The 19,101-nt window shown below is 43.6% G+C and overlaps 2 pseudogenes; both read left to right on the forward strand.

Annotated features, from left to right (window-relative positions):
• FEM1AP4 (fem-1 homolog A pseudogene 4) lies at window positions 350-3,170 on the forward strand (annotated as a pseudogene).
• On the forward strand, window positions 15,731-18,538 carry TERF1P5 (TERF1 pseudogene 5; annotated as a pseudogene).

The raw sequence follows: 19,101 nt of genomic DNA on the forward strand, positions 1-19,101 counted from the left end.
ATAAAACTCCCCAAAAAATGTTTGTATATATTTTTGTTTGTTTGTTCCTAAATAGTATAACAAGCTATGGTCTTTCAGGGAAAATGTTGCTCTGATACTAGTTCACAATGTAGAAAATTGCCCTTATGTACTTTCAGGAAAGAATTGCAAACAAGTGAGCTATTTTCTCTTCTCGAGTAAAGGGACTTCCCAAGCATGGGTGGCAGCTGTTCAAGTCCATCTGGTCAAGAATTCACTAAGATCATAATGTGAAAGTTGCTCAAGTGCAGATTTGCATGACAGCCTGCAAATGTTCCTTTGGAGACGAAATGGTTTCTCAGGTCAATAATCTGCATATTTAAAAGTCTCTAGGACACCCTAAGATGGCGGCGAGGGAGACGGTGAAGGTTGGCTCCCGCCTGTCTGGGCTCTGATCCTCTGTCTCCCCCTCCCGCTGCGGCCGGCTCACGGCCTGGCGGAGGCCCGAACCAAAGACCTCCGCACCGCCGTGTACAACGCCGCCCGTGACGGCAGGCTGCAGCTGCTCCAGAAGCTGCTCAGCGGCCGGAGCCGGGAGGAACTGGACGAGCTGACTGGCTAGGTGGCCGGCGGGGGGACGCCGCTGCTCATCGCCGCCTGCTACGGCCACCTGGACGTGGTGGAGTACCTGGTGGACCGGTGCGGCGCGAGCGTGGAGGCCGGTGGCTCGGTGCACTTCGATGGCGAGACCGTGGAGGGTGCGCCGCCGCTGTGGGCGCGGACCACCTGGACGTGGTGCGGAGCCTGCTGCGCCGCGGGGCCTCGGTGAACCGCACCACGCGCACCAACTCCACGCCCCTCCGCGCCGCCTGCTTCGAGGGCCTCCTGGAGGTGGTGCCCTACCTGGTCGGCGAGCACCAGGCCAACCTGGAGGTGGCCAACCGGCACGGCCACACGTGCCTCATGATCTCGTGCTACAAGGGCCACCGTGAGATCGCCCGCTACCTGCTGGAGCAGGGCGCCCAGGTGAACTGGCGCAGCGCCAAGGGCAACACGGCCCTGCACAACTGTGCCGAGACCAGCAGCCTGGAGATCCTGCAGCTGCTGCTGGGGTGCAAGGCCAGCAGGGAACGTGGATAGCTACGGCATGACCCCGTTGCTCCCGGCCAGAGTGACGGGCCACACCAACATCGTGGAGTACCTCATCCAGGAGCAGCCCGGCCAGGAGCAGGTCACAGGGGTAGAGGCTCAGCCTGGGCTGCCCCAAGAAGGCTCCTCCACCAGCCAGGGGTGTAGGCAGCCTCAGGGGGCTCCGTGCTGCATCTTCTCCCCTGAGGTACTGAACAGGGAATCTTACCAAAGCTGCTGTCCCACCAGCCGGGAAGCTGCTGTGGAAGCCTTGGAATTGCTGGGATCTACGTATGTGGATAAGAAACGAGATCTGCTTGGGGCCCTTAAACACTGGAGGCGGGCCATGGAGCTGCGTCACCAGAGGGTTGAGTACCTGCCCAAACTGGAGCCCCCACAGCTGGTCCTGGCCTATGACTATTCCAGGGAGGTCAACACCACCGAGGAGCTGGAGGCGCTGATCACCGACCCCGATGAGATGCGTATGCAGGCCTTGTTGATCCGGGAGCGCATCCTCAGTCCCTCGCACCCCGACAGTTCCTATTGTATCCGTTACAGGGGCGCCGTGTACGCCGACTCGGGCAATATCGAGTGCTACATCCGCTTGTGGAAGTACGCCCTGGACATGCAACAGAGCAACCTGGAGCCTCTGAGCCCCATGACCGCCAGCAGCTTCCTCTCCTTCGCTGAACTCTTCTCCTACGTGCTGCAGGACCCGGCTGCCAAAGGCAGCCTGGGCACCCAGATCGGCTTTGCAGACTTCATGGGGGTCCTCACCAAAGGGGTCTGGGAAGTAGAATGGGCCCTGCAGCTGCTCAGGGAGCCTAGAGACTCGGCCCAGTTCAACAAGGCGCTGGCCATCATCCTCCACCTGCTCTACCTGCTGGAGAAAGTGGAGTGCACCCCCAGCCGGGAGCACCTGAAGCACCAGACCATCTACCGCCTGCTCAAGTGCGCACCCAGGGGCAAGAACGGCTTCACCCCTCTGCACATGGCTGTGGACAAGGACACCACAAACGTGGGCCGCTACTCCGTGGGCAGATTCCCCTCCTTGCACGTGGTCAAAGTGCTGTTCGACTGCGGGGCCGACCGGGACAGCAGGGATTTTGACAACACCCCGCTACACATAGCAGCCCAGAACAACTGCCCGGCCATCGTGAATGCCCTGATTGAAGCAGGGGCCCACATGGACGCCACCAACGCCTTCAAGAAGACGGCCTACGAGCTGCTGGAAGAGAAGCTGCTGGCCAGGGGTACCATGCAGCCCTTCAACTATGTGACCCTGCAGTGCCTTGCAGCCCAGGCCCTGGATAAGAACAAGATCCCTTACAAGGGCTTCATCCCGGAAGATCTGAAGGCATTCATCGAACTGCACTGACCTGCCCAGAACATCTGCACCCTCACCTCTCCCCTCTCCTGCTGAGACGGGGGAAATCAGGCTGGGGTATAGCAGATGCTCGTTCTTGCCTCCTTCAGGCACCAATCAGGAGAAGGGTTCTGCCTCCCATCCCCTTTACCTGAAGACAGGGTCTGAGGTGTTAGCGAGCCTTTGGTGCTAGAAGCCTTCAGGGTCACATGCCAAGAGGACAGTCTTTCTCCGGGAGCCCACTGACTCAGAAATTCTGAGTTAGGAAAAGACACAAGACCTTCCCCACATCCTGTCTGCCTGGGTTACGGAGGCCTTTGCCTTGTTACCTAGAGGCGGAGGGACTGAAGCCATTGCGTTCCTTCCCTGCTAGAAACACAGGAAGAAGTTGAGGACGGTCTGCCTTCCCTTGTCCTTTTACATGGCCAGGTAACTCCCCCTGCTGAATACAGTGTTAGGACTGGGGGCTCCCGAGATGAGAGTTTGAAAGTCAGGGAATGAAACCACCTCTCATTTCTTCCAGCATGATCACGACCTGCTCCTGTGCCACCGTAGTCCCTGGCAGACAGGCAGGGCTCTGCTCAGGGCAGCCTGCCACTTGCATAGCTTTTGGTTAGTTTGGTGTTCTGTTTATTTAATAAGTGGGAAGGTTGCAAGCATTGCACAGAAATTCTGAGATTTACTGCCTTTTTTTTTTTTTAAAGAAAGTTGTTTGTTGGACTCCATAAGTGAATTTCAAGCAGTGAGGATTTTGTAGTGCCTGAGATGGCTGAGGCCACAGGGAGTGAGCTGTATGTGTGAGGAAGTTGGTGAGCGAGATAAAAGTCCATGGTGTCGACCCCTAAAACGGGTGACCGTACATTTTTATACATCTCCACTCTACGGCCTTTTATAGGCTTTCCAATTTTACAGGCCCTTCCAATTTTCCATTCTCATTGGAAAGAGAACTGTGCTTCCAAACAGAAATCAGGAGTGACCACAAAGCCTGACAACACTTTGCCACCCAGCAAGAACTGGCACAATTGGTTTGGGTCTGCATTGCCATAGTGCCCGAGTTAAAACTACAGGCCACTCCACCTTGCAAACATCACGTGGCCTCTGATTTCATTGTGGGTGCATCCACAGGTGGCCCTAGCTCTTTTTTCAGCTGCTCCGAGGATTGGGACCCAAGTCATCATGAAAAAGGCCCAGGTACAGTCTTAATGTGAAAAATCCACTAGCTAAGACGTTGAGTGCCAAGACCAGCCTTCCAGCCAAGGTTTGGACAAAGTCTCAAGTTCCCATGACTCAGGGTAAGGTGCTGGGGCTGCCAGAGGACCTGCCCCAGCAAGATTTTTCTCAAGAGTGAGACTCCATCAGCCCGGGCAGACGGGAGCAGGTTCTTGGCCGGTGTAGACAGCAGCAAACAGCAGAAGGGAAGCCATTCTCACTACATCCTCCCTGCAGTAGCCACAGCCAGGCCCTTAGGAGGAGTAGCAACCGGGGGTGTCCAGAAACATCCTGTCCCTGGATGGAAACTAGGTCTCGTTTGGATTTTTTTTTCTTTTTTTTTTTTGCTGTGTTAGTTAGGAAATTATTTATTAATTTACAAGACAGGTTTTATCTCAGCCAAGGAGGGAAATGGCGTCCCTGTCCCTCCCAAAGCACAGAGCAGAGAAATGAGGCTGTTTACATCGCAAGTCTCTGCGCTGGTGTTTAAGTCATTAAAAAGATATTCAAAAAAAAAAGTCTCTAAATACAGGCTTATGGAATAATTCATAACAGCTTTAAGGAACTATCATGGTACACTGGGAAAGTCACTCATATTGCAGGATAGATTTCTTCTGTTGGCTGGTGAGCATTTGTTTATAGTCGGCCTTGACTCTACCACAATTTTAGAAGTAGTTCTTTTATTTCTTTAAAAGAAACATTTTGGGACAAAATATTGTGAACAAATAAGGAATACGACTATATTTGTGAAACCCCTTGTTAATTTCCAAGTGACATTTTAAATCTTGAATAAGACATGAACGCTCATAAATAAAGAGGGAAAAGAAATAATTAAATCAATGTTCCTAAGAGCTTCTCAGAAAATAAGAGATAAGTGATAGAACTATGATCTACAATCTACCCTAACAGTATATTTGCATCACTTCTTAAACTTTGTTTAGTATTTTAACACGCTGTTTCTTATTATATGTGAAGAATGCTGTGAGGTAGCATGTCAATGTTTTGCAGATTAATAAACTGATGTCAAAAGAGGTTAAGTGACTGATTTTGTACTTTCATTATCTCAAAAGTGCAACTAAAACTGCACTTAGGATTGCCACTCCTGTCGGGGGCCATGGCTTTGGTCCTATTTTCTGCAAGTCTCTGGATGATGTCTGTCCACCCACCGTCTCTGAGTGTTCTCCTCACCTCGGCCTTCCTCCCTTATTTTAGTCCCACAACTGTCACCACTCTTCAGAATCCTCATGAAACTTCAGGAAAATCGACTGGGTAGGGCTTGTTTCAGAATTATCATCCAGCATTCTAGGGCTGATTTAGAATTCAGAGAAAGAAGCAAAAGCACTTATCAAAGTGTGTGCTCTAGAGGTAAGCTCAGAGGCACCATGGCAATCCCCACATTTCCCTAGGATGTCTTCAGAAATACCTGATACTGTCATCTCAGGCCCAGATATCATCCACCAGCTGAAGGCCGTGGGCAACATTCACATCTCAGAGTAAAGAGTGTTTTAGAAGTCCATGGGCAATCACCAGTCACGCAGGGAGTTCCAGGGACCAGCCAGTTGTTCCTTTCATGAGTTAGGAGGCAGTAAGGACATCACGGTGATCATTTCCACTGAAAACACAAATTTAAGTCCACTCTGCTACTCAGCAGTTAATGCTGACTTCTGAAAATTATGAAGCATTTATCACTATGGTCTCCTTCTAGGTTTATCAGTGCAGTCAGCTCAGAAAACTTTCATTCCTTCAGTATATCCAGCTCCAGCTAATCAGGTAGGGAACAATGAAAACAGGCTGACATTTGATTCAGAGGTTCTGGAAAGAAAGTGGACCTGGCAACAAAGTGACTGCACTTACAATCCCCCAACCTAATGTCATCAGGGTCCAGGGTAGACCATCTGGGGCTACCGGGGAGAGAAGACAGTTTCAGAGGCTGTCTATTATAAGCAGCTCCGATTAACATCTTAGGACCACAAGACAAATTATCATTGGTATTTGAAGGCAAAAGGTCAAGGATGATCTGGCCCTGGGTGAGTACCTGGGTCTAACTCACAATTCTCAGAAAGGCCCTCTGGGTCCATTCCCGATACATTAACAAAATGCCTGAAACACAGTGGGGTTTGAGCAAATGATAGAATGAATGTTTATGGAGGACGATTGTCTGACCTCTTCTACTATACACTTTTGAGAAAGGTTCTCAGAATGTATGGTTAAAGTATTGTATAGGATTAGGAGCATTCCTAATCCAAAAATCAGAAATTCACACTTTTTGAATGCTGACATAATGTTCAAAGGTTATACTCAAAAGGAAATGCTCATTAAAGCTTTTTAGATTTCAAATTTTTGAATTTGGGGTGTCAACCGGTAAGTTTAATGCAAATGTTGAAAAATTTTTTAAAAATCCAATATGCATCTTGTCCCAAGAATTTTGGATAAGGAATACTCAGCCTGCATTTCAATTGTTTGCTTGTTTGCTCTGTCATCAAAAATGAACCAGGTGCGGTGGCTCATGCCTGTACTCCCAGCACTTTGGGAGGCTGAGGTGGGCAGATCACTCGAGGAGCTGGAGACCCACCTGGCCAATATGGCAAAACCCTGTCTCTACTAAGTTAAAAAAAACTTAGTCTGGCATGGTGGTGGCAGGCTAATTTTGTAATCCCAGCTACTCAGGAGGCTGAGGCAGGAGAATCGCTTGAGCCCAGGAGACAGAGGTTGCCGTGAGCCAAGCTTATGTCACTGCACTCCAGCCTGGGTGAGAGAGTGAAACTCTGTCTCAAAAAAAAAAAAAAAAAAGAATGAGTTTCTTCAAGAGAGAAATTGTACCTTGTTCATGTCCATCATTCCCATGCATAACATGGTTCCATAAGAACTCAGTCCTTATGAAACTCCACTCAGTAAGGACTCAGTTTTTTCAGAATGAACAGACCAAGTAAGAGCAATTACTTATTGTCATGTAGCTCAGATGAGAAAGGGCTGGGATTTGAGAAAAGGCTCTATTACTGCATAGGATCCGGATGGATGGATTCCATCACAGATGTAAAGCAAGACTACAGTAGTGTGTCCAACAAGATCGAGTGATAGCAGGTTGTAGTGCAGGTAAGTAGATATCCACGAAGGGTGGCAAATGAAGTGTTGACCTGTCCAAACAGACGGATGCAGTACAAGACAATTTATCCTTACAAGAAAGATAGCAAATTGGAATTAGGAATATTTGTCATTTCAGAGGAGGGTCCAAGACAATGGTCCAGGATCCAGGACTGGGGAACCCCTTCCTGAGGACAATGACAGGTAACAAAAAAGGATCAAGCTGAAGCTCAGAAATCAGACTTGGGTGCCGGGAGAGGAGACTAAGGAACAGACTGAGATCCACTTACCAGACCCAGGGTATTGTCTCTGCATTAGCTCAGAGACAAAGAAAAATGATGAAACCACAGCTGGCAGACACGTAGTCACGTAAATCTCCTTAGCATCATTGCAGGATTCGTGCTGAAAGTCAAGGCAATGGTGAAGCTGCAGGAAGGCTGTAGGTGGTCATAGCTCTTTCAGAGACTAGAAACTAGGTCTGAGCTAAAACATTTGCAATCTTGGATTTCTTTGGGGATGTTCATTCTACTAACAAACCAACACCAATTTAATTTCCTGATGTTTATTTTGGGAGGTTTACAAGAATTAATTTCCTTGGAACTGATTTTTTTAAACATCCATTATAGAAAATTATTTTTCTCACTTGTGAACACCTCTGAAAAAGAAGTATTATTTATAAAAGTTGGTACCTGTTGACCTATTAGAGTTGTGGGGAAAAGCCTTTACAGGGTTCACAAGAAAATGACTTCTCCAACTATGACTTACAGATGTACTCTTAAAATAATGACTTGACATATTTATATGTATACCGTTAGTTTAATGTCTTACCTAATCATCCAACAAACTAATTCAATGTTGTTTGCGATGCATTAAATGAACAAAAGATAAACTGGGTATTAGAGAATCCAGAGAGCCTAGTGGCCCATGAAATCACTGGATTTGCAAAGTTATTTTCTCTTCAGCGCTGTGCACTATCTCAGAACAAAATCTGTTGGCAAAGCACTTTATTGGCAACCAATGGGTTAGAATATAGAGACATTAGGAATGCCACATGGGGTCCAACCAATGCTCCATCCAGGCCAGCCTAGTGCAAAAGCAACATGAGAGGATTTTGGAGAGCGAGGTTGCCCGATGTGGTATTAGTTTGTAGTGTTGGAATTATTTAAAATATCTTCCCAAAATCATTTTGTGAACTAACATGTAACTCTAATCTATCATTTCAGACAAATCCCTTGATTTTTTCCCACAGCTCTCCCTCTTTGTGTTAGAGTTCCATAAATGTAATGCCCACTATGTGAAGAGAAAATTAACATTCCCCTTTTTCTACTTGCAGACTTCCAAACATTTCCTGAAACCTTAAACTCTTACTGATTCTTTAAACTGTCCCCATTCCACTTTTCTCTGCAGCAAGTAGCTCTCAATGTGTAGTCCTCAGATGGGCAGCATCCACTGGAAAACTGCTAGAAATGCACATTCTCAGGCCTCACCCAAGATCTGCTGAATCAGAAGCTCTGGGGTGGAACCCAACAACCTGCATTTTAACAAGCCTTCCAGATGACTCTGAAGCATGCTCCATACTGATAACTAATGCAATGCATTATGGTAAATTTGCCCACCCACCCTCTGGCAAAAATAACATCTAATTGCATTTACTTTTTAGTTTGATGAGTACTTATCTCGGTATCTTTTAATTCACCTGATGTTTCTGTTGGTAACAAAACCAACAAAAACATTGTAAATTTGGTACACTGAAATGCAAAATAAGAGTGAAGGAGAGGGCTCTCCCTCTCCCTCTCCTTCTCCCTCTCCCTCTCCCCATGGTCTCCCTCTCCCTCTCTTTCCACGGTCTCCCTCTGATGCCGAGCCGAAGCTGGACTGTACTGCTGCCATCTCAGCTCACTGCAACCTCCTTGCCTGATTCTCCTGCCTCAGCCTGCCGAGTGCCTGCCATTGCAGGCGCGCACTGCCACGCCTGACTGGTTTTCGTATTTTTTTGGTGGAGACGGGGTTTCGCTGTGTTTGCCGGGCTGGTCTCCAGCTCCTAACCGCGAGTGATCCGCCAGCCTCGGCCTCCGGAGGTGCCGGGATTGCAGACGGAGCCTCGTTCACTCAGTGCTCAATGGTGCCCAGGCTGGAGTGCAGTGGCGTGATCTCGGCTCGCTACAACCTCCACCTCCCAGCCTCCTGCCTTGGCCTCCCAAAGAGCCGAGATTGCAGCCTCTGCCCGGCCGCCACCCTGTCTGGGAAGTGAGGAGCGTCTCTGCCCGGCCGCCACCCCGTCTGGGAAGTGAGGAGCGTCTCTGCCCGGCCGCCTATCGTCTGAGATGTGGGGAGCACCTCTGCCCCGCCGCCCCGTCTGGGATGTGAGGAGCGCCTCTGCCCGGCCGCCACCCCGTCTGGGAGGTGAGGACCTTCTCTGCCCCGCAACCGCCCCGTCTGAGAAGGGAGGAGACCCTCGGCCCGGCAGCCGCCCCGTCTGAGAAGTGAGGAGCGTCTCCACCCGGCAGCCACCCCGTCCGGGAGGGAGGTGGGGGATCAGGCCCCGCCAGGCCAGCCGCCCCGTCTGGGAGGGAGGTGGGGGGGTCAGCCCCCCGCCTGGCCAGCCGCCCCGCCCGGGAGGTGAGGGGCGCCTCTGCCCGGCCGCCCCTACTGGGAGTTGAGGAGCCCCTCTGCCCGGCCACCACCCCGTCTGGGAGGTGTACCCAACAGCTCATTGAGAACAGGCCATGATGACAATGGCGGTTTTGTGGAATAGAAAGCGGGGAAAGGTGGGGAAAAGATTGAGAAATCGGATGGTTGCCATGTCTGTGTAGAAAGAAGTAGACATGGGAGTCTTTTCATTTTGTTCTGTACTAAGAAAACTTCTGTCTTGGGATCCTGTTGATCTGTGACCTTACCCCCAACCCTGTGCTCTCTGAAACATGTGCTGTGTCCACTCAGGGTTGAATGGATTAAGGGCGGTGCAAGATGTGCTTTGTTAAACAGATGCTTGAAGGCAGCATGCTCGTTAAGAGTCATCACCACTCCCTAATCTCAAGTACCCAGGGACACAAACACTGCGGAAGGCCGCAGGGTCCTCTGCCTAGGAAAACCAGAGACCTTTGTTCACTTGTTTATCTGCTGACCTTCCCTCCACTATTGTCCTGTGACCCTGCCAAATCCCCCACTGCGACTTCCCTCCACTATTGTCCTGTGACCCTGCCAAATCCCCCTCTGCGAGAAACACCCAAGAATGATCAATAAAAAAATAAAATAAAATAAAATAAAAAAAAAATAAATAAATAAATAAATAAATAAAAGAGTGAAGGAGAGGACACTGGTAGTGAAATCAACAACTATAAAGCAGTTTGGGGCAATTCAGTTTAGGGACAGGCATTATATCTCAAAAATCCAGTGAGCATCACATTATAAAAGCACAGCTCCAAAGGTGATGATTTCATGTGAGGACCCTTCAGTCACAAAGAGAGGATTAGCTCACGTTCATTATTTCCAAATTTCCCTCACCAAAGCACAGATTATTAAGGCATTTTTGCGACATTTTTATCAAAATGAAAATGTGTTTGACAATGGAGCAAACTGAGATATATGAAATATTTACTTGTTTGAATATCTGAAGATACTAGAAATGTGTCCTTAATTTACTCTGTCTTATATGAAATGTAAACCAATGCTATCCATTAGCTTCTAAACATGTTCCAACTGATGCATGTTGCAACTGTTCCAGCCCTGTTGCATAGGACAAGACTCAGTTTTTTCAGAATGAGCAGACCAAGTAAGACCAATTACTTATTGTCATTGAAGTTTGTGGTTTTTGTTCAAATTTTATAAGCGTACAATATAATGTGTTTAATCATCATGGTGGCCACTTTTTATACATAGCTTTTTAAAAACTTAAATGCAAACTTCACAACCTTTGCCTCATACTGAATGTGGCCTCATAACAAGCCCTCCAGATGAGTCAGTACTAGTAGAAGTCTGATTTCACATTCCATGAGTGTTTGCTGAAGGAGAATGTATGTGCCTGTGTTCTGCTGGGCATTTCTGAAGGATATTGACAAGCACAGCATATAAATCCTAGGCTAGCTGTGTCACAGATTGGCACAATAGCAGAAAGAATATCTCTGAGAATTTACATCCCGGCAGAGGCAAATCAATCAGTCAACTATGGAGTAAAACATTGTTAAATTCAATTGGAAAAAAAAGTTGAAATTTTCTCATATGCTTTGTCATCTAATATCTGTGTTTTTCTCCGTTCAGTTACTCTTCTCTGGATTTCAAATAGAATTTCTAATAATAAACGTGTACCAATTCTATCATCAAGCTGTTTATGTTCTTTACATTTCTGTTCTTGATAATTATATGCTAGTCTTTGAATATGAAGATAATGCTTCTGACCCAATATTCATAATGCATGTGCCTCGAGTTGTTATTTTTTGCAAGAGAAATAAGTTTATTTTGATCTGATGCACTTTCTTTCCCAGTCTTCATGTGACCAGCAGCACCAACTGCAAGACTGTCTGTCACCTGAGTGTGGCTTGCAACCAAGCACATGTGGGAATTCAGTGAAGGCCCCTGCCTTGACCTCATTATCAACAGGAACCAGCCAAAGACAGTGGTCACTCTTTATCCATGTAAATAGACACCGTAATTTATTTTCAAAAAAATCCAAAGGAAAAAATTTAAGGCCATTGTAATACCAGAAATCTGCACTGTGAGTACTTGGAAGATGACAGTTGATAAAGCTGGGAGGTTTACAATGACTAGATTGTCAGAAGGGGTTAAATGTATGTTCTAATAGTAAGAGAACAAGAAAAAAGAATGACCTGGTGATGTGTAAATTTAAAATACAGTGGTACATTTTAGGAAAACCAAAAATCAATCCATGAACTTTGAAATGAAGGGAGATAGTTCTGAGAGATCTAGAGGAACTGGACTTGAGATCCAAGATTACAATTTACTCAATTTTTTTATAGATACTTTAAGTATGGAAAATTTAATTTTATTCTTACAGATAGTAAGGTATAATACAGAATATAAAGTCCATTAAATTAAGGTGGTTATAGATCCTGGTTTTCTTGACACTCTTATATCATGCTGATGGTTCCTGTGTGAATATTAACATTACCCCCTTCAATTCACAAGTGTCTTGCGCTGTGTGTGTGTGTGCGTGCACGCATGCCTGTGTAGCTTTTGGTTTTATTCTGGTTTGTTTTGCAAAAATGAAATAATAGCAAACATGTGATCCTGAAACTTTCTTCACTGAATACGTATCTTAGAATCTTTATTTTTCTTATTATTCAAAATAATTCATTTTTTAACCTACTACTTACTCATCATTAAATATAGTTATTTAATCCCCTTTTAAAACCATTTGAATTGTTTTAAATTTTGTCCTACTGCAAATAATTTCATCATATTCTTTTAACCTATAACTGCACATATGTTTTAGTATTTCTGTAGGTTAAATTTTTGGAAATGGTATCAGATCAAAAAAGTTAACATTAAAGTCATAATCAATATTCCCAAATGTAGACACATTTTTGAATCTTCAATTTAATCACTTTCATAAAATTTCAACTTTCCTTAATAATACTTCCAATTTAAACTAAGGAGCTTTAATTGTTTAGGACCACAAAGATTTCTATCAGAGGGAGGACAAAACATGAAATATTTTGTTTTGTAATTTATTTGTTGCAAAAAACATCACTGCTGTTTGGAAATTGAGAAACTGTCCAAACAAGTACACTATGGACAACAAATGTCATGAACTGCCTGTCCACACTGAGGTTTGAGAGCCACAGGAGACTTGAGACTTCTTCTAAGACAGTTTAAAGAAGTCTCATTTATTTGTCTTTTTATACAACGTAGCAAATCAATATATTAAATAATATAAGAACATCAAGTTTTCTTACATATAAAACTAGAGTAACCTATCAAACAAAGCTGTTCCACGTAACTGAGAACTCATTAACCCTGAGGTCCTAGGACTATATGAAGTCAGTGCAATAGCAGGCAATAGCCTGTCATGTGCAACTAGGGCTGCTGGTGGGGAAAAGTACAACATCCCAGATTCGTCAGTGATGTGGCTGGATTGTTGTGTGTGAGAAATGCACCAGCCCTGACTCAGAGATGCCCTCTCTTACTCATCTTCCTGTCATTCTGGTGCTGAACACCTGTGCCCACCCATAGTGACCTGTGACCAAGGGCATGGGCACAAACACCTTCCCTATCTCCCTGTCTTTTTTCTTTCCCTCTTTTCCCTTTATTCATTCCACTATCCTTCTTCCTCCCCCTGACAACCCCAACTCTTTTCATATCATCAACAAATGGCAAGTACAGGCCCTGAGGAAGACACAGATGACTAAGACAGAGCTTCTGCCCTTGAAAAGCCCCTGATCTAGTCTGGGAGACTGACATATAATCAGAGGATCAGACAGCCTGATGAATACCATGATCATGTGCCTGACACCTTAGAGTAAAGAAAATGTGGCAACTCATGTTGCTAGGAGAAATCAGGACAGCTTTGCAGAGCACCCGGCGTTTGTGATGTGTCTGCAAGTTCATTGTCTTTGAGTGTAGGAAACCACCTTTGGAGCATATAGGCTGGACCTAGGAACCCTGGGCTCTGCACCAAACACAGGCTCCTGAATGGAAGATAGGAGACATTGTCACTGTCCTTAGTCCCTGCCCTGGCTTGCCTAGAAGGCAATAAATTAAGTTGTTATAGGTGGTGTGTACTTGTACCTAAAGATGTCACTGCTAGCTGAGGGGAAATAAGCCCCTGAAGATTGTTAGGGCAGTGAAATTATTCTTTAAGATACTGTTATGGGAAATATATGACATAATGCATTTAGCAAAGCCCATAGAACCGTACAACACAGGGACTAAATCCTAATATAAACTGTGGATGTTAGTTAATCATAATGCATGAATATTGGTTCATCAGTTGTAACAAATGTGCCACACCAACACAAAATGTTAACAATAGGAAAAACCAGAGGCTGGTCGGGGACGAGAGTTTACAGGAACCCCATATATTTTGCTCACATTTTCTGAAAACCTAAAACTGGTCTAAAAATCAAAGTCTATTAATTTTTTTAAACACCTTGAAACAGTATATCTATTAGTTCCCTGCCTTTGTGAAAATAAGAGCAGACTTTTGGTTTTTCTTCTTTAGGACAAGAATTATATTTTTATAATAACTCCTCCATTACTTTTGATATATCTAATTATTTCTTTAATAACTGGATCAAACACTTTAATATTAATGAAGGTAGAGCCAATAGGATATCCTGGTAGATTGGAAGAGACAGTGAGAGAAACAGAGGCATAAAGGATGATGCTGAAGTTTTTGGCTTGAGCAAGAAGAAGCAGGGCTGCTACTAGGGTGAGCCAAGTGAGATGTTGAGGGCATACAATTTAAGGAGGCCCTTGCATAGCCATGCAAAAGCAAGGTCAGCACTTCCTTGATGCTCTGAATGCCTTAAAGTTTGTGCCTAAGTGGTTGGCTTACTTCACTCTTGTCCTAGTCCTGACTGGATCAATGGTATCACCATCCACTGAGTTGGGGCAGGCTGAGCAGAAGCAAATTTGGGGAGGCTGGATTGAATATAGAAGCTTGGTTCCGGACATGTTGACTTTGAGATGGCCATTGAACATTCAAGTGGAGACATCCGGTACTCAGCTGGATCTCTGAGTCTATATCTCAGGAAAGAGGCTGAGACTAAAGTTATGTATTTAGAAGTTATCACAGGACTAAATGAACTCATGAAGAAAGTGAGTGTGAATGGATAGTTAGATGGATAAGGGAAGAGTTTCAAGGCCTGAGCCATGAAATACTTCTATTTGTCAGAAAGAAAAAGAGGAGCCAGCAAGGAACCTTGAAAAAGAGCAGGCAATAAGAGAAGGAACACTGGCAGTGTGTATTCCTGGAAGACAAGACAATGCTTCAAGGAGTAGAGAGTAATAAGTTGTGTTTCATGCTGCTAGAGTTGAGTTAGACAAAGCTTGAAACTAGAACTTTGGTATTAGTAGCATTGAGGTCATCGACGATGTTGACTAAAACAGTTTTGGTGGAGGGATGACAACAGAAGCCTGGACAGAGTGCACTGAAGAGAGAAGAAGAGAGGAGAGAAATTTGATTCTGCATATACATAAAACTCTTTCAAGGTCTTCTTTTAGAAAGAGGAAGGAAGATAGAGAGAGAGACAGACAGACAGAGTGAGAGAGATGAGAGAGAAGCCAGAGGGGGAAGAGAGGTCCAGAATTTAATACTTTCCCAGTTTTTCCAACTTGCATCTCAACCCCTTATGTCTGGGTTTTAGCAGTGGATACTTTGAGATTCTAATATTTATCTCCTCAGAAGGTGAGATGCAGAAGAAGAGATAGGAAATTGAGATAATAACTACTTTCTTCTGATGGGTGGGAAAAATTCTATATGAGAATTTTTCTACCAAGACACATGTGAAAGGAAGTGGCAACATGTGGCAATTCATCTAAGATCAGCAACTTTTTTTCTCTGTTTGAATTTGTTGATTTGGAAGGTATTTGTCTAGCTCTGCAACAGAATCATTACTTGCTCTACCAACTTTTCTAAAGTCTCACATGCTGATGCCAGTTAAGAAAGAATACATTTTAGTCTGTCAACTTTTGCTTACAAAAGAGGATCTAAAAGTGTGTTCCAAGGTAATTTGAACACTCTTTCAAGATGGTGCATATTTTAGTAGGTCCACAGAACAGTAAATATAACTTGATAATCACCCCAAACATTTCTTGAATTGGGAAATCGAATTGGCAGGTTTGCATAATAAAGGGCTAAAATTATGAACCACACAAGATTTGCCTGAAACTTGATTGTTCAGGCTCACAATTCTCTACTGAATACTCTTGTGCTTGCTTTTGTATTTATCCATTTTCATGTAACTGCTTAGAGCAGACATTTCTTTTTTAAATCTTTTTTCATAAAAATAAATTTTAATAAATATGCCGGCGGATGGTAGGGATGCCGACCCTACCGAGAAGCAGGTGGCAGAAACAGAGAGAAACGATGAGGAGCAGTTCGAATGCCAGGAACGGCTCAAGTGCCAGGTGCAGGTGGGGGCCCCCGAGGAGGAGGAGGAGGAGGAGGACGCGGGCCTGGTGGCCGAGGCCGAGGCCGTGGCTGCCGGCTGGATGCTCGATTTCCTCTGCCTCTCTCTTTGCCGAGCTTTCCGCGACGACCGCTCCAAGGACTTCTGCAGGACCCGCAACAGCGCAGAGGCTACTATTCATGGACTATCCAGTCTAACAGCTTACCAGTTGAGAATGATATACGTATGTCAGTTTTTGACAAGAATTGCAGCAGGAAAAACCCTTGATGCACAGTTTGAAAATGATGAACGAATTACACCCTTGGAATCAGCCCTGATGATTTGGGGTTCAATTGAAAAGGAACATGACAAAGTTCAAGAAGAAATACAGAATTTAATTAAAATTCAGGCTATAGCTGTTTGTATGGAAAATGGCAACTTTAAAGAAGCAGAAGAAGTCTTTGAAAGAATATTTGGTGATCCAAATTCTTACATGCCTCTCAAAAGCAAATTGCTTGTGATAATCTCTCAGAAAGATACATTTCATTCCTTTTTTCAACACTTCAGCTACAACCACATGATGGAGAAAATTAAGAGTTATGTGAATTATGTGCTAAGTGAAAAATCATCAACCTTTCTAATGAAGGTAGCAGCAAAAGTAGTAGAAAGTAAAAGAACAAGAACAATAACTTCTCAAGATAAACCTAATGGTAATTATGTTGAAATGGAAACTGAAGCTAATTTGGATACAAGAAAAAGGTCTCACAAGAATCTTTTCTTATCTAAGTTGCAACATGGAACCCAGCAACAAGACCTTAATAAGAAAGAAAGAAGAGTAGGAACTCCTCAAAGTACAAGAAAGAAAAAAGAAAGCAGAAGAGCCACTGAAAGCAGAATAACTGTTTCAAAGAGGCAACCGGTAACTCCTGAAAAACATCGAGCTAGAAAAAGACAGTCATGGCTTTGGGAAGAAGACAGGAATTTGAGATCTGGCGTGAGGAAATATGGAGAGGGAAACTGGTCTAAAATACTACTGCATTATAAATTCAACAACCGGACAAGTGTCATGTTAAAAGACAGATGGAGGACCATGAAGAAACTAAAACTGATTTGCTCAGACAGCGAAGACTGATTGTGTTTCTAAAAGCTTTATGAAAGGACAGTTAAGTATTTTGATCACTGCATTTTGTTTGAAACTTGTGTCATTGATGTATTTTAAAACTTCTGTTTAAAGCATTACAGTATTTTTCTGTGACCATCAATTAATATGAGGGTTTGTGCTATAAGAGTTAAAGCATATGCTATCATTGTATTCTTTAAGAACTTTATTTTGATAAAATGTAAATTTGTTGAACCCTGCCACATTTAGTATCCCCACCCCCAAAACCTGTTCCAATGAAAAAATTAAAACCTGTTATGAAAAAAAAAATTCAGTTAACCTATTTTGTGTCTGTAGGCTGACCTCAACCCTGTAATATAACCCATTAAAATGAATTTTCTTTTTTTTTTAAGACAGAGTTTCTCTCTGTCACCCAAGCTGGAATACAATGGCACTATTTCAGCTCACTGCAACCTCTGCCTCCCGGGTTCAAGCGATTCTCCTGCCTCAGCCTCCTGAGTAGCTGGGATTATAGGCACACACCACCATACCCAGCTAATTTTTGTATTTTTAGTAGAGGCGGGGTTTCACCATGCTGGTCAGGATGGTCTCGAACTCCTGACTTCATGATCCACCCACCTCGGCCTCCCAAAGTGCTGAGATTACAGACGTGAGCCACTGTGTCCTGCCTAAAATGAATTTTCTAGATGATTGAATAACAGTAGTCCTTTGATAGGAGATAATGACTTGGTTTATGGCCTTAATATACTACTTAATTACTTAAGATGTTTATTAATAGAATGATAAATGTACAGAGTAACCTATAAGTGTGACATACTTTTGCTTTCAGTAGTTTCATGTAAAGAAAAAAACTTGAAAATAGATTACTATTAACCTGAGGACCCATGGGAATAACAGACACTGGGGAGGTAGGGTGGGGAGCGGGAACAAGAGCTGAAAAACTACCTACTGTGGACTCTGCTCACTACCTGGGTGACAGGATCATCCATACCCTAAACCTCAACGTCACACAGTACACCCAGCTAACAAACCTGCCCATGTGTTCCCTGAATCTAAAAAAGAATCAAAATAATTGTTTAAAAAAAGAAAAAGACAATAGTATTACCCATGGGACAAAATTTGTACTATTAGCAAGAATCATTTGTGTCTCATTTAGAAACAATTTGACTTTTGTTCCATTGTTTAAACTTTGACAAAAATGGTTTTGAATAGATCTTTATAACCTGATGCCATAAATACAAGATTCTCTGATACCTTCATTTAATATATCAATATTGGGCCTAAAAGAGTATTCTATAAAGCTTAAATTGGTATTAACTATGATCATCTTGATGTCTATGATAGATAATAAACAAGGTCATACATACCTTACTAAACAATTTTGGTTTCTCACCAACATTTTATCTAAAAGATTTAGACTAATTGAATTATTTAGCATTTCGAGTCATGTGCTTTATTTAGCAAGTGAGTAAAAATATTGGAATATTGAAGTATTTGCATAAAAAATCAAATGGTAGTGTTTTGTGATCTCTATTGTATTTCCTATTAAGGTTTCATATATTACTTTCCCATTGTTCCTGAATTTGAAACATGGATGAGTACCATAAAAAATAAATAAATAAATATGCCAAACTCACTCCAATAGCATCCATCATATCATATGTATTATATAAATACATATTTTACCATTATAATTGACAAACCAGCAATTATGAGCTTGATTTTTGTGGATGTATTAGGAGCAATGTTTCTTCATAGGATATAATATTTTGTAATTTCTTATTCTTTACTGCTTGCTGCACTGTAAAACATTTATAAAATGAGTTGCTTTTAGGGTGTGAAATGAGCAATCATCAGAGGAAAAGCATTAAGGACAAGAAAGTGGAGTGAGGATCATGAAGCACATGCATTTCTTTCTCAAGGTCGTGGGTAAATTTCAGCTCCATGGAAAATCTTGAGAAAGAATCCAGCAAGAATGAGATCATGAAATGTTAGTTTTCCCCAAGTAGAAATTCCATAATAGAACTATAAAATTGCTGCTTACAAATTTTTTCTTCCAAATTCTACTTGAAATTAGGGAATTGAAAGGGCCAGGAGGGACCTTGGAATTCATCTAGTCTGAACTCATTATACATAGGAAAAGCTAAGCTGAGCCATTCTGCAAGTCACAC

Source organism: Homo sapiens, chromosome 13 (genome assembly GCF_000001405.40).
Source record: "Homo sapiens chromosome 13, GRCh38.p14 Primary Assembly".
In the NCBI taxonomy this organism is placed as follows: Eukaryota; Metazoa; Chordata; class Mammalia; order Primates; family Hominidae; genus Homo; species Homo sapiens.